General features: G+C 52.0%; 1 protein-coding gene and 1 long non-coding RNA gene across 14 annotated transcripts in view, besides 5 other annotated features; one reads left to right on the forward strand and one right to left on the reverse strand.

The window, feature by feature from the left end:
• The window catches only part of CTNS (cystinosin, lysosomal cystine transporter), a 26,645-nt gene continuing 13,254 nt past the window's right edge, over window positions 1–13,391 (forward strand). For 4 of the 12 annotated variants that reach the window (XR_007065277.1, NM_004937.3, NM_001374492.1 and 1 more), the window contains exons 1-5: window positions 302–373; window positions 649–858; window positions 3,730–3,809; window positions 10,986–11,064; window positions 12,389–12,473. Coding sequence is in view for 6 of the 12 variants with exons in the window: in NM_004937.3 (NP_004928.2) it covers window positions 3,749–3,809; window positions 10,986–11,064; window positions 12,389–12,473 (225 nt within the window). In the remaining 6 variants the exon portion in view is untranslated. Of the gene's footprint in view, window positions 251–301; window positions 430–648; window positions 859–3,729; window positions 3,810–10,985; window positions 11,065–12,388; window positions 12,474–13,391 lie in introns of those variants that run through there. The other 8 variants (NM_001374494.1, XM_011523692.3, NM_001031681.3 and 5 more) reach the window with 7 other exon arrangements.
• Window positions 48–297: an enhancer, noted in NCBI's record as "active region_11511". NCBI's record gives its function as "activates an Ori minimal core promoter by ATAC-STARR-seq in GM12878 lymphoblastoid cells {active_cell/tissue: GM12878}" and the evidence as "EXISTENCE:reporter gene assay evidence [ECO:0000049][PMID:35858748]".
• Window positions 578–667: a silencer, noted in NCBI's record as "silent region_8015". NCBI's record gives its function as "represses an Ori minimal core promoter by ATAC-STARR-seq in GM12878 lymphoblastoid cells {active_cell/tissue: GM12878}" and the evidence as "EXISTENCE:reporter gene assay evidence [ECO:0000049][PMID:35858748]".
• The window catches only part of LOC105371493 (uncharacterized), a 16,507-nt gene continuing 5,154 nt past the window's right edge, over window positions 2,039–13,391 (reverse strand). For both annotated transcript variants that reach the window (XR_007065579.1, XR_001752759.2), the window contains 2 exons: window positions 8,503–8,717; window positions 2,039–2,627 (listed from right to left, as the gene is read on the reverse strand). This is a non-coding gene — a long non-coding RNA (uncharacterized LOC105371493). The remainder of the gene's footprint in view (window positions 2,628–8,502; window positions 8,718–13,391) is intronic.
• Window positions 3,964–4,023: a silencer, noted in NCBI's record as "silent region_8016". NCBI's record gives its function as "represses an Ori minimal core promoter by ATAC-STARR-seq in GM12878 lymphoblastoid cells {active_cell/tissue: GM12878}" and the evidence as "EXISTENCE:reporter gene assay evidence [ECO:0000049][PMID:35858748]".
• Window positions 3,964–4,514: a biological region, named in NCBI's record as "H3K27ac hESC enhancer GRCh37_chr17:3543723-3544266".
• Window positions 3,971–4,514: an enhancer, noted in NCBI's record as "H3K27ac hESC enhancer chr17:3543723-3544266 (GRCh37/hg19 assembly coordinates)". NCBI's record gives its function as "activates a minimal SCP1, AML or CMV promoter by ChIP-STARR-seq in naive H9 embryonic stem cells {active_cell/tissue: H9 hESC(naive)}" and the evidence as "EXISTENCE:reporter gene assay evidence [ECO:0000049][PMID:30033119]".

Genomic DNA, 13,391 nt, shown 5'->3' on the forward strand with positions numbered 1-13,391 from the left:
ACGGGCTCTGATTTCCGCCCAATGGAGGGCGGTCTGAGCTTCGCTCACGAAAGGAGCCGGGAGGCGCTGGCGGCTCCAAGAGTCTCTGTGTCCCTGGCAGCGGACCTCATCTTCCCTCACGCCGGAGCCCCGATCTCTGCGCCCCGGCCCGACCCAGCTGCGCTCTGTCCGTCTAAGACGCGCGGAAACTACAACTCCCAGAGCTCATCTCGCCGAGATCCGGCCCCACGAGTCAGGTGGCGGAGGTCAGGTGACAGCGGACCCGCCTCTCCCAAAGTCTAGCCGGGCAGGGGAACGCGGTGCATTCCTGACCGGCACCTGGCGAGGCTCATGCGTCCCGTGAGGGCGGTTCCTCGAGCCTGGGGGCGCTCAGGTGAGAGCGGACGCGGCCTCCCCTGTTTCCCAGGCGGACCCCTTGAGGCACAGCAGGTCAGCGGGGCAGCCTGCCGGGGGTCCAGCGCCCTCAGCCGCGGCGGGCTCCTTTCCCCGCCACCAGTGCTGGCCTCGCGACACGGGACAACCCCCGGGTGGAAGGGCCCGAGCGGTGGTCAGCCGAGGCAGGGGCAGCGGGCTGCCGGGGTGGGTGCCGTTCCCAGCCCCTTACCTTCTGCTCAGTTGCCGCCTGGGTCTCGGTTGGGGAATTTGCAGATTGCTTTGGAGACGCTGAGAGAACCTTTGCGAGAGCGCCGGTTGACGTGCGGAGTGCGGGGCTCCGGGGGACTGAGCAGCACGAGACCCCATCCTCCCCTCCGGGTTTTCACACTGGGCGAAGGGAGGACTCCTGAGCTCTGCCTCTTCCAGTAACATTGAGGATTACTGTGTTTTGTGAGAGCTCGCTAGGCGCCCTAAGCAACAGAGGTAACCACTTTATATCCTTGTTTCTCAACCTCGTTATTCCTACCTACCCCCTTCCCATAAAATTTAATACCACTAGTACGCTGTGTATTTGTTTCTGTGGCCACAAACCATTGTAATAGCTAGATTTCTTCACTACCACCCCAAGCCAATTTTTTTTTTTTTTTTGAGATGGAGTCTGCAGCCTCTGTCACCCAGGCTGGAGTGCAGTGGCGCGATCTCGGCTCACTGCAACCTCCGCCTCCGGGGTTCAAGCGATTCTCCTACCTCAGCCTTCCGAGTAGCTGGGACTACAGGCCTGAGCCACCATGCCCAGCTAATTTTTGTATTTTTAGTAGAGATGGGGATTCACCATGTTGGCCAGGCTGGTCTCGAACTCCTGACCTCAGGTGATGCGCTCACCTCGGCCTCCCAAAGTGCTGGGATGACAGGCGTGAGCCACCGCGCCCAGCCTACCCCCAGCCAATTTTAGTCCCACTTGACAATGCGTGCTTTACATCTCCTCATTTAAGTCCTGTGAGGTAGTTACCACCTCCTTGTTTGGCACCACAAGGTCGCATAAGTAATAAATAGGTCAAGCCTGTCTCCAGTGCACACAGCCCTTGCCACTATTTGTGTACCCTCTCCAAAAGCAGGAGACCCAGGGAGTTCCAGGTCGTAGAACAGAGGACAGGACCAACTCATACCTGGCAGACAGGAGCTGCCACACTAGACCCCTAGCCCCAGGTTGCTCCTGGGAAGGGACTGAATGGGTGAGGAGCCTTCTTGAAACATGTGACATCTGAATGAGGCCTGGACAATAGTTAGAACTTACATAGGAAGGGCACGCCAGACAGAGCCCATTGTCAGGAGATACTTCATTTCTATCTTGTAGCTTTCACAAGCCACTAGTTGTATGTAATTATCAATCTGGTTTTTTTTTTGTTTTTTTTTTTTAATTTGAGACGGAGTTTCACTCTTATCACTCAGGCTGGAGTGCAATGGTGCAATCTCGGCTCACTGCAACCTCCACCTCCCGGGTTCAAGCGATTCTCCTGCCTCAGCCTCCTGAGTAGCTGGGACTACAGGCACATGCCACCACGCCTGGCTAATTTTTGTATTTTTAGTAGAGACGGGGATTCACCATGTTGGCCAGGCTGGTCTCGAACTCCTGACTTCAAGTGATCCAACTGCCTCGGCCTCCCAAAGTGCTGGAATTACACACACGAGCCACTGCGCTCAGCCTAATCTGATGTTTTTTAACATTTTAATTGACTTACCTCTCAATGTCGTTTTGTCTCTGCTGGCATCGTTCCTCCAGGGGTCTCAGCCTTTGAGGCTTGGGAATGTTTGCTGACCAAGTCTGTGAGTTTGAGAAGCTGGTTAGGCCTGATTCTGCATCTAATTTCTGGAGAAAAACCAGACTCTGTCCTGGGCAACAAACTGAATCCTGAACTTGAGGCCACAGGGCAGGTGTGAGGAGCGGAGGGCAGCAAGAGTGAGAGGGAGGCCTGTGGTCATTCCATACACGCAGGAGGGCAATTCCTCCAAGGTCAGGGGACAGAGCACAGGGATCCAGCGCCAAGAGCAAGGCCCCCAGAGGAGGCCAGAGAGTAGGTACGGGGTCATTCCCGGCCGGTGAGAAGGGTCTCAGATGAGGCAGACCTGCAGCAGGCAAAGAGAGAACCCTGGAGGAGACGGGCCAACAGAGGTCAGACAGCTGGAGCAGCCAGGGAGACTTCTTGAGGAGTGTGTAAGGGAGATGTCCGGAGATGCTGGAGGCCTTGGGGAAACTGAAATCAGAGTGGGAACAGGGATGTCTCCACACAGACCTTACCCAGAGCTCCCCACAGTCTGCAGGAGGCCCGTGAGACTGTGTACTGAGGCAGCACGGAGACCAAGCTACAGAAATCCATGCCGGCCTGGCTGCTCTTGACCCACTGTTCACCTGCTGTGTCTTGGGTTTACAGGAATGCAGCTCCCCATCTTCCACACTAAACCAAGGACTTGCTCTGGGGCTCATCCCTCCCCGAGTCCTCCTTGTGAATGACCCCAGCCAGTCCTGGAATGGTGACACTTGTCAAATAAAGTCTTGACAGGCGCGGTGGCTCCTACCTGTAACCCCAGCACTTTGGGAGGCTGAGGCGGGCGGATCACTCGAGGTCAGGAGTTTGAGACCAGGCTGGCCAACATGGTGAAACCCCATCTCTACTAAAAATACAAAAGTTAGCCGGGCATGGTGGGGGGCACCTGTAATCCCAGCTACTCAGGAGGCTGAGGCACAAGAATTGCTTGAACCCAGGGGGTGGAGGTTTCAGTGAACAGAGTTCGCACCACTGCACTCCAGCCTGGGCAACAGAGCAAGACTCTGTCTCAAAAAAAAAAAAATTTAAATATGTATATTAAAAAAAAATGTTTTTTTAAGTCTTAAGGGTCAGTTGGTGTCATCAGCCCTTAGACTCTTATCCCAGGACAGGAAAGGAAATTAATTTCCTTGAGGTTTATAGGTTCACAATGTCAAATATCTGACCACAGTTTTAACAACTTTTGGAGAAAAAGAATCTCAAGCCAGTAAAATTGCATTCTTTCTTTCTGCTAACTAAGTTTTTACAAAAAGCAATTGAAGAGGGAAAAATTCTGGTCTTTGTTCACTTCCTCAGGGGGGCACTTTACACAACCCATTTATCTGCTCGGAGCCCGTTTCCCCTGTATATCAAAGAAAGATAAGTCCTCTCTAGGGTGTCCCTCTGAGGCCGTGATGCAAAGCCCTGAGGTCACAGCTGTCAGGTGGCAGTCCTTTATGAGCCATCCATGCTCCAGAGGGCAGATTGTCTACAGGGAGCTGAGCTGATTCAACATTCCCCTGAACTTCTCTCTTGCTGTTTTTCTTCCTAGTTCTGAGAAATCGAGAAACATGATAAGGAATTGGCTGACTATTTTTATCCTTTTTCCCCTGAAGCTCGTAGAGAAATGTGGTAAGTTTAGAAATGACACGTCAACTTTGTAAAGAGGGAAATGGTGGCTAGAGGAAGGAGTAATCTGATCTGTTTGTTGCCAAGGGTTTAGAATCATTCAGACCACATGTCTCTGTCTGCCTCTTGGCCATGTGGCCACTGGGGTGGTGGAGCAGACCCAGGTCTGGGATCCAGGTGTTCTGCAAAGAGCCAGATAGTTCCACATATAATTGGCCTTCTGCCCTGGTATCTCTGTACCTTTCTGTACCAAAGTGAACAGCTGGTTCTTAAGGTCAGACTATGCAGCTGATTCTCAAAGTCAAACGGTAGAGCTCCAACAACCTGGGATAATATCTTAAAGACTGGCTCAGGCTGGAGCAGTGGCTCACGCCTATAATTCCAGAGCTTTGGGAGGCCAAGGCAGGAAGATCTCTTGAGGCCAGGAGTTTGAGACCAACCTGGGCAACGTAGTGAAACCCCATGTCTACTAAAAAATAATTTTTAAAAATTAGCCATATGCAGTGGCTCGTGCCTATAGTCCTAGCTACTTGGGAGGCTGAGGCAGGAAGATTGCCTGAGCCCAGGAAGTCAAGGCTACAGTGAGTTATGATCACACTACTGCACTCCGGCCTGGGCAACAGAGTTGAGACCCTGACTTTAAAAGAAAAAAAAGAAGAATGGCTTATGCCTCTGCCCTGTGGACCTCACAGAGAGAGTCTTGGGTCCTGGGAAACACTGGGGAAGCAGAAGAGGTAGCCACCCTGTTGTACCCGGTTCTGCCAGGCACAGATCACCTGAGGAGTCTGCCCAGCATCCCCTTGTAAGATGAGAAAACCTGTCCCTTAGAGAGGGGCTGAGGAACAGGGTGCAACAGCCCAGCAGGGCTAGGGGTCAGTTGGAACACAGGCTGGGATGGAGTTTACACGTCCTTGTAGGAGGAATGACCTTCAGTGCAGGCCTCTTTGAGGCCCGTGCCCTTCTAGCAATTCTCCCACTGCCCAAAACATCTCTGGAATTCCTTCCATAAAGAGCCATGTTTAGCACTTCAAAGGTGCCAGGCCCATTCATTTGATCCTCAGCTTGCCTCTTGGGTCAAATACAAAAATCAGATACATATATATATATATATATATATATATTTTTTTTTTTTTTTTTTTTTTTTTGAGACAGAGTCTCACTCTGTCGCTGAGGCTGGTGTGCAGTGGCACGATCTCAGCCCACTGCAACCTCCACCTCCCGGGTTCAAGCAATTCTCCTGCCTCAGCCTCCCTAGTAGCTGGGATTACAGGCACCCGCAACTACGCCCAGCTAGTTTTTTGTATTTTTAGTAGAGATGGGGTTTCACCATGTTGGCCAGGCTGGTTTTGAGCTCCTGACCTCGTGGCTCGCCTGCCTTGGCCTCCCAAAGTGCTGGGATTACAGGCATGAGCCACCGTGCCTGGCCCAGATACCTTAAATTCCCATTTCAAGTGAACCTTGACAAACAATACAAATCCTGCAGAGGTTTCCCCAGAGCCTAGCACCATTGCCGTTATCTGGCCTCTTGCATCTCTGAGGAAACATGGTCACGTGATCATCTCTTCCAGGTTTGTTAAACAATCAGTAATGTTTGTAGTCACACTTTGTGGATAAGCAATTTCCGGGAAAGGCAGGTCTTTCAGACCCTGGAACCTGGTGTTTCTTAATACAGACGTCAGAACCCTGTCCCCACCCTGTAGGATCAGACTTTGTAAGACTGAGGCTGGAGCATGTGCGTGTGCCTGGGAGTGTGCGCGCGCGTGTATTTGCCTGGGCCTGTGTGTGTGTGTGTACCCGGGCGTGTGTGTGTGTGTGTGTGCCTGGGCGTGTGTGTGTGTGCCTGGGTGTGTGTCTGCGTGCATGTATGTGTGCCCGGGCGTGTGTGTGTGTGTGTGTGTGTGCCCAGTCGCTCATACATACTCTTTAAAGCCCCATTAGTAATGCTAACACGCTCCCCTAGGAGAAAAACAAAAAATCCAGCTACCACCACTCCAGTTACCTGGAGGGGAAGCAGGCCCAGAGAGGGTAGAAGGCTTCCCCAAAGTCACACAGCTAGAAAGTAACAAAGCTGGGACCTGCATAGGATCCCTGCTGCATGAGATCACTTTGCCTCCTTTCCTGAATGCCATTAGAAAAGAATGGGCCAGGTGCTGTAGTTCACGCCTGTAATCCCAGCACTTTGGGAGGCCAAGGTGGGTGGATCTCTTGAGGTCAGGAGTTCGAGACCAGCCTGGCCAACATGGTGAAACCCCGTCTCTACTAAAAATACAAAATTAGCTGGGCATGGTGGCGAGCGCCTGTAAGCCCAGCTACTTAGGAGGCTGAGGTAGGAGAATCGCTTGAACCCGGGAGGCAGGAGGTTGCAGTGAGCTGAGATCACGCCACTGCACTCCAGCCTGGGTGACAGAGCAATTCCCCATCTCAAAAAGAAAAAAGGAAAGAAGAATGGAAGCCACCATAAAATCAAGTCACTGGAATTGAATCTCCAACCTCATTCTGCCCTTGCTGTTTCTTTCTTCTCTTTGCTTTGGGTAGTAATTATGAAGGACCACAGATGAGATGATTGGCCTTCAGACTTGTCTGTCTCTGACTTCTCTGGGTGGAATCTTGAGGCAGTGCAGCCTCATGGCAAGAACCTGGGCTTTGGACTAGACAGGCCTAAGTTTGAATCTTGCCCTCACCATTTTCAAGCTGTGTGGGCAAGAAACCTTTCCTCTTAGAATGCTCAGTTTCCTGAAATGTAAAATAGGAATAATAATGCCTACCTCGGCCTGGCGCGTTGGCTCACGCCTGTAATCCCAGCCCTTTGGGAGGCCAAGGAGGGTGGATCACAAGGTCAGGAGATCGAGACTATCCTGGCTAACATGGTGAAATCCCGTCTCTACCAAAAATACAAAAAATTAGTCGGGCGTGGTGGCGGGCGCCTATAGTCCCAGCTACTCGGGAGGCTGAGACAGGAGAATTGCTTGAACCCGGGAGGCAGAGGTTGCAGTGAGTCGAGATCGTGCCACTGCACTCCAGCCTGGGCGACAGAGCAAGACTCTGTCTCAAAAACAAAAAAAAATGCCTACCTCTCACTTTTGTAATAATTAGAAAATGGGAGCTCGGTGTATAGCAGAGTAGCTGGTATTGGGTAGGTGCAGAGTGGGAGAGAGGCCTATAAGAATTAATTTTAAAAACCTGGCCAAGCATGGTGGCTCATACCTGTAATCCCAACACTTTGGGAGGCCAAAGAGGGAGGATCACTTGGGCACAGGAATTTGACACCAGCGTGAGCGACATAGTGAGACCCCATCTCTACAAAAAAAAATTTTTTTTTAAACGGATTCTCACTCAGTTGCACAGGCTGGAGTGCAATGTGGCGTGATCTCAGTTCACTGCAACCTCTGCCTCCCGGGTTCAAGCGATTCTAGTGCCTCAGCCTCCCAAGTAGCTGGGTTTGTAGACGTGCGCCACCACATCCGGCTAATTTTTGTATTTTCAGTGGAGACAGAGTTTCACCATGTTGGCCAGGTTGGTCTCAAACTCCTGACCTCAAGTGATCTGACCGCCTCAGCCTCCCAAAGTGCTGGGATTACAGGCGTGAGCCACCGCACCCGGCCAAAAATTTTTTTTTAATTAGCTGGGTGTGGTGGTGCATGCCTGTGTTCGTAGCTACTGAGGTGAGAGGCGGCAGTGGTGGGAGGATGGCTTGAGCCTGGCGGGGTCAAAGCTGCAGTGAGCCATGATCACTCTCTTTAGGAGGAACTCAGGATGGTGTTGTGACTCATTTTGTAAATCTGATACAATGTAAAGATTTTAGACTTGGGGGGCCAGCTTCCTAACTGCCTCCCACCTTGGGCTAAAAATATCCTGCAGTTATCATGTGATGATAATAATAGTAACAATTATTTAGCATCTGGGCTTTGTGGAAAACATGTTACAAACATTGCTACATTGTATCTTCACCATGACTCATTCAGATAGGTCTTGGTATTCTCCCCACTGTACAGATAAGGAAATGGAGGCTCAGAGAGGGTAAGTACCTTACCCATGGTCACACAGCTAGGAAGTGTCAGAGCCAGGATGGAACTGCGTGACTTTGGAGCCCAATATCTCAGTTGCTGAGCACCTCAGTTTTCTGTGGTGCTAAAGAAGGAGGGAATAAACATTCTCTGGTCTGGTTCTTGGAGTGTTCACAAACTCCTATTTTATTTTTTTATTTTATTCTATTTTGTTGAGACGGAGTCTCACTCTGTCACCCAGGCTGGAGAGCAGTGGCGCAATCTCAGCTCACTGCAGCCCCCGCTTCCTGGGTTCAAGTGATTCTCTTGCCTCAGCCTCCCGAGTAGCTGGGATTACAGGCGCCTGCCATCACGCCCAGCTAATTTTTTGTATTTTTAGTAGAGACAGGGTTTCACTATGTTAGCCAGGATGGTCTCTATCTCCTGACCTCGTGATCCACCTGCCTCGGCCTCCCAAAATGCTGGGATTACAGGCCTGAGCCACCGCGCCCGGCCTAATTTTTTGTCTTTTTGGTAGAGATGGGGTTTCGCCATATTGGCTAGTCTGGTCTCCAAATCCTGACCTCAGGTGATCCACCTACCTCGGCCTCCCAAAGTGTTAGGATTACAGGTGTGAGCCGCTGTGCCCGGCCCTCAACCTCCTATATGCAAAGATTGTAGGAGCTCTGTAGCCATGTAGATCTCCCACTCACCTTGACCTCCACTACCTCTGGCAGAGCCCTAGGGATCCAGAGTCTGGCTGGCCGCCCAGCATCACTTTCAGCATCCTGTCCTGAGCAGTGGCTGGTTGTGGGACTTGCTTATCTGGCATGGTCCTCAGCTCTAGGCAGAATTGAACTGGTGGTACAGGAAGTCCCAGCTATGCAAGCCCAGAAGAAATCCTCAGAATGACCTCAGAACAGTGAGCCTGAAAAAGAAGGGCAGACTCGCCACAGCGGCTTCCAGGCTCTGAGGCTCCACATAAGGAAGGGACTGCCTTTTGCCGCTCTGAGCACCTTGGCCTCTGCAAGGGCCAGGGGACATCCTGTTCTGAGGAGCCCAGCCAGCCAGCAGGGGACTGGAGATTGTGGACTGTGGGGACCTACGGACTTGGGACAGAGCTTCCATCTGTATTCACATGTGCTGAGCATGGAGAAGGCAGCTCTCAGGGTCTGAGAGGCTCTGGGTAGCAGAGCCTGGCCTGGCAGGGCAAGCTTCAGGCTGTGATCTCCTTAGAGGAGACGAGGTTACAGAGGAAGAGAAACTACCAGGTAGGAGTATTGAGGCGGAGAATCAGAGGTCAAATTGGGTAACTTTAAGTTTCCTTCCGGGCCAGGTATGGTGGCTCACACCTGTAGTCCCAGCGCTTTGGAAGGCCAAGGCAGGCAGATCACCTGATGTCAGGAGTTCAAGACCAGCCTGGCCAACATGGTGAAACCTCATCTCTACTAAAAATACAAAAATTAGCCAGACGTGGTGCTGCATGCCTATAATTCCAGCTACTTGGAAGGCTGAGACAGGAGAATCACTTGAACCCAGGAGGCAGAGGTTGCAGTGAGCAAAGATCATGCCACTGCACTCCAGCCTGGGCAACAAAGCGAGACTCTGTCTCAAAAAAAAAAAAAAAAAAAAGTTTCCTTCCAACCCAAGCGTCTAAAATTTCAGATCTCAATTCATCTGCCTTTGAGGGGTCTGAGTGACAGGGTCTGGGTGGGGGGAACTGGGCCTGGGGGGTCTGAGTGACGGGGTCTGGGTCGGGGAACCGGGCATGCTGGCAGCCTCTGCCGTTGCAAAGACGCTCCTCATCACAGTCATGCACCTGCTTCCCCGCCCGGCCTAGAGTCATGACCATAACCCCAGGCTGTGTGTAACCCTGAAGGCAATCAGGCAGGGGAAGTGAGATGGCAGGTGTGGCATGAGCCTTCCAGTACCCCTGGGAGCAGAGGCTGGGACGGGGCTGCACAAAGAATACAGGAAGCACACAAAGAGAGGCTTACTCAGTCCGGTGCTCTGGGCTAGTTGGCCTTGCAAGAGGGTTTTCTTTCTTTTTTTTTTTTTTTTGAGATGGAGTCTCGCTCTGTTGCCCAGGCTGGAATGCAGTAGCGATCTCAGCTCACTGCAACCTCTGCCTTCCAGGTTCAAGCAGTTCTCTGCCTCAGCCTCCAAAGTAGCCGGGACTACAGGTGCATGCCACCAAACCCAGCTAATTTTTTGTATTTTTAGTAGAGACAGGGTTTCACCATGTTGGCCAGGACGGTCTTGATCCTCTGACCTCGTGATCCACCTGCCTCGGCCTCCCAAAAGGCTGGGATTACAGGCATGAGCCACCACGCCTGCCCAGTTTTCTTTCTTTTTTTAAGAAAATATTCTGTAGAAACAGAGTCTTTCTGTGTTGCCCAGGCTGATCTCCAGCTCCTGGGCTCAAGCAGTCCTCCCGCCTTGGCCTCCCAAAGCGCCAGGTTTCTAAGCGTGAGCCACCACGCCCAGCCCCACGATGGTTTTCTAAGACCCTAAGACCCAGATCTGCTTCTTCCCTCATCTGGGGGCCTGTTTGTCAACTTGATTCTGAGTTAACAGCTTAATGCCAAGAAGAAATCTCAGAGTGAAACAACTATTCACCCTTCCTCCTCCAGTACCCCGCAGATAGTCAGCCCCAGGAAGGGGACCAGTGCCAGGGTGAGCTGGGTTGGGAAGGGACCCCAAAGGGCTCCTTAGAAACTCATTAGCTGGGCCCATGTGTCTCTCTGAGAGTGCAGGAAAGGGGCTGGCCCAGTTCTTCAGGACCATTTTGACTTCATGAACAGAGGAGACCCCTGTGCTTTCATCTGAAGAGGTGGTTCACGGCTGCCTTTTACGCTCCCAGGTCACGCTGGAATTCCCCTGTAATGATTTTTGGGCTCCATGGTTCTCTAACAATCTCTGGTTAACTCAGCCGCAGACTCTCAGAGCCTGTCATCGCAGCGGGAGGAGGACGCTCCGGCGTTTCCTGCTCAGGCCTGTTTTCCTCCATCTCTGTCTCTGGCAGCAGGTGGGGAAGGAAGCTAACCAGGGCCTGTGTTTGCAGTCCCATCACAGAATAGGGCTCGTCAGAGAGTCAGAGCTCAGGAGTTCAGATGTCAGGGGTTTCGGCCCAGTTTTCTGTCACAGGCCTGAACTCTGACCCAGTGCCTCATGTCATTGATTTGGGTCCTTCCAGAGTCAAGCGTCAGCCTCACTGTTCCTCCTGTCGTAAAGCTGGAGAACGGCAGCTCGACCAACGTCAGCCTCACCCTGCGGTAAGTTCCTGGGCCTGGCGCTGTGCTCAGCTCCGCTCAGGCCCCGCAGCTGGGTCAGGGCTGACCCCTGGCTCAGTCTGTTCAGATTTCAGATGCGCTATTCTTGCCTCTTACCTGTAAGACAAGCCCTAGAAAAAGGGATGGTGCTAGCCCCGGGCTGCAGGATGGGATCGCAAAGGCTGACCCCCACCCTGAGTCCTCACTTTCCCTGGCAGGAGAAGGAAGGGGTGCTTCTCCCAGAGACGTGCGTCTTTTCCCCGCATGGGAAGAGTCCTGTGTGACCGGTGTTGAGGCCAGATTTCAAAGCGATTCTTTCTAAGACTAAGTATTTGAAGAGAGCCCTGAAGGTCAAGGGGCAGGGAGCTGAGCTGCTGGTTGGCACTTCTGAGGTTGCTTTCAGAAGCAGGAGTGGCCACGTCGGGTGAATGCCGCTCATGCTGGGCCTTGTCTGGGAGTCTCACTTGCTGCCACCTGCTGGCTTAGGCACAAACGTCGCGACCTAGTCCAGTCTGTGCCAGGGAGGCTGCCTCTGCCTTCTCTGCTCTTAGCTGCTTTGTCCTTCCCTTGCCTCCCAGCCGTGAGGATTCCCTGATGAAGAAGACCTAGAACCCTCTCCTTCTCTCTTTATGCCTTTCCCCCTTCCTCGCCTCTCCTGCGAGATCTGGCCTGAAAGCAAAGCTTTGGTTCCGAGGCCCCTAGCAGGCCTGCCATTCCGCTCCCAGCTCCTTCTGTCTCTGCACACCCTCCCCCTGCAAATCTTACAAGTCATCTCTTACCACAACTGTCCAGGCCCCTGGAGTGGCCTCCCACTGCCTTTCAGATTAACTCCAGGCCTCTAAACCCAGGGCCAGGGCCCAGAAGACGGCTTCCAGCCAGCACATCTGCCTTCTCCCGTCAGATGCCTCTCCCAGCTTTCCAAGTCCGGACTGCTCCCTCCTCATTCCCTGCCTGAGCCCTCTCCTCCTTCAGTCAAATGCTGGCCCTCACACAAGGCCCCACTCAGACCCGACTCTCTGGGAAGCCTTTCCCACCGGAGCAGGGAGCCACGGTCCTGGGCCTCCAGATGCCTCATTTGTCATTCACACCCACCTTGCTTTCTTCTCTGTTCTCACCCTACCCTGAAGGGACAGACACCTGGTCTCCTGATTAAGACAGGAAGGCCTACGGGAGCACGATTTCCACCTGGCTACCCATCAGGGTGGAGCACCTAGCATTTCCTAAGCCTAACTGCTTGAGAGTTGAAGGCCAGATGTGAAATCCAGAGGGTTGGTTGAGATCTCACTGTCCAGCTTCTCAGCAGTAATTAGACTCTTGTCCTCCACAGGCCACCATTAAATGCAACCCTGGTGATCACTTTTGAAATCACATTTCGTTCCAAAAATATTACTATCCTTGAGCTCCCCGATGAAGTAAGTAACCAATCTTAACGGATGGGTAGGGAAATGCTAGGTAACAGAACACATTTGAATTAAGAGCTGGTGGAAACAGGTCTCCTAGGCGGCCCCTGTTCCATCAACCTAGAAATCTGTGATTTTGGCTTTGTTGGTGTCTTTTGGGGATGAGTATCACATGCCATTAGATGGAATTAAGAAGGTGATAGTGAGGAACCTGAGGCAAAAATGGTTCTGGGAATGTAAACGTTCTTACCGGGAGTGGTGGCTCACGCCTGTAATCCCAGCACTCTGGGAGGCCAAGGTGAGCGGGTCACCTGAGGTAGGAAGTTCGAGACCAGCCTGATCAACATGGTGAAACCCCATCTCTACTAAAGTAAATACAAAAATTAGCCAGTCGTGGTGGCATGCACCTGTAATCCAAGCCACTTGGGAGGCTGAGGCAGGAGGATCACTTGAACCCAGGAGGCGGAGGTTGGGGTGAGCCTAGATGGCCCCACTACACTCCAGCCTGGGTGACAGAGTGAGACTCCTTCTCAAAAAAAAAAAAAAAAAAAGTTCTTACAATTTTCAAGGCCTGGCTGCTCAAAGGGCATTCAAGGACCAGAGAATTGGGCTTCCTTAGGAACACAGCATCTCAGGCCCCATCCCAAACCTACTGATTCAAAGTCAGCACACTAGCAAGATCCCCAAATGGTTTGAGTCCACATTAAGGTTTGTGAAGCCTCATTCTGAGACACCACTGGTTGGGTGTCGTTTCCAAAAACCAGTGCCAGAGGCCGTGTGATCTAATAGCGATCATTACCCATAGCTTTATGCATGTATCTATTTGTGTGTACCCTGCTCCCACCTTACTGAGCATTTGAGCCAGTTGCTATTCAATTAGATAAAAAGCATCCACAGAGGAGGTGGCAAATAAGGGTTTAAATAACAAGA

The sequence above is a fragment of the Homo sapiens genome, chromosome 17, assembly GCF_000001405.40.
Source record: "Homo sapiens chromosome 17, GRCh38.p14 Primary Assembly".
Lineage (NCBI taxonomy): Eukaryota > Metazoa > Chordata > Mammalia > Primates > Hominidae > Homo > Homo sapiens.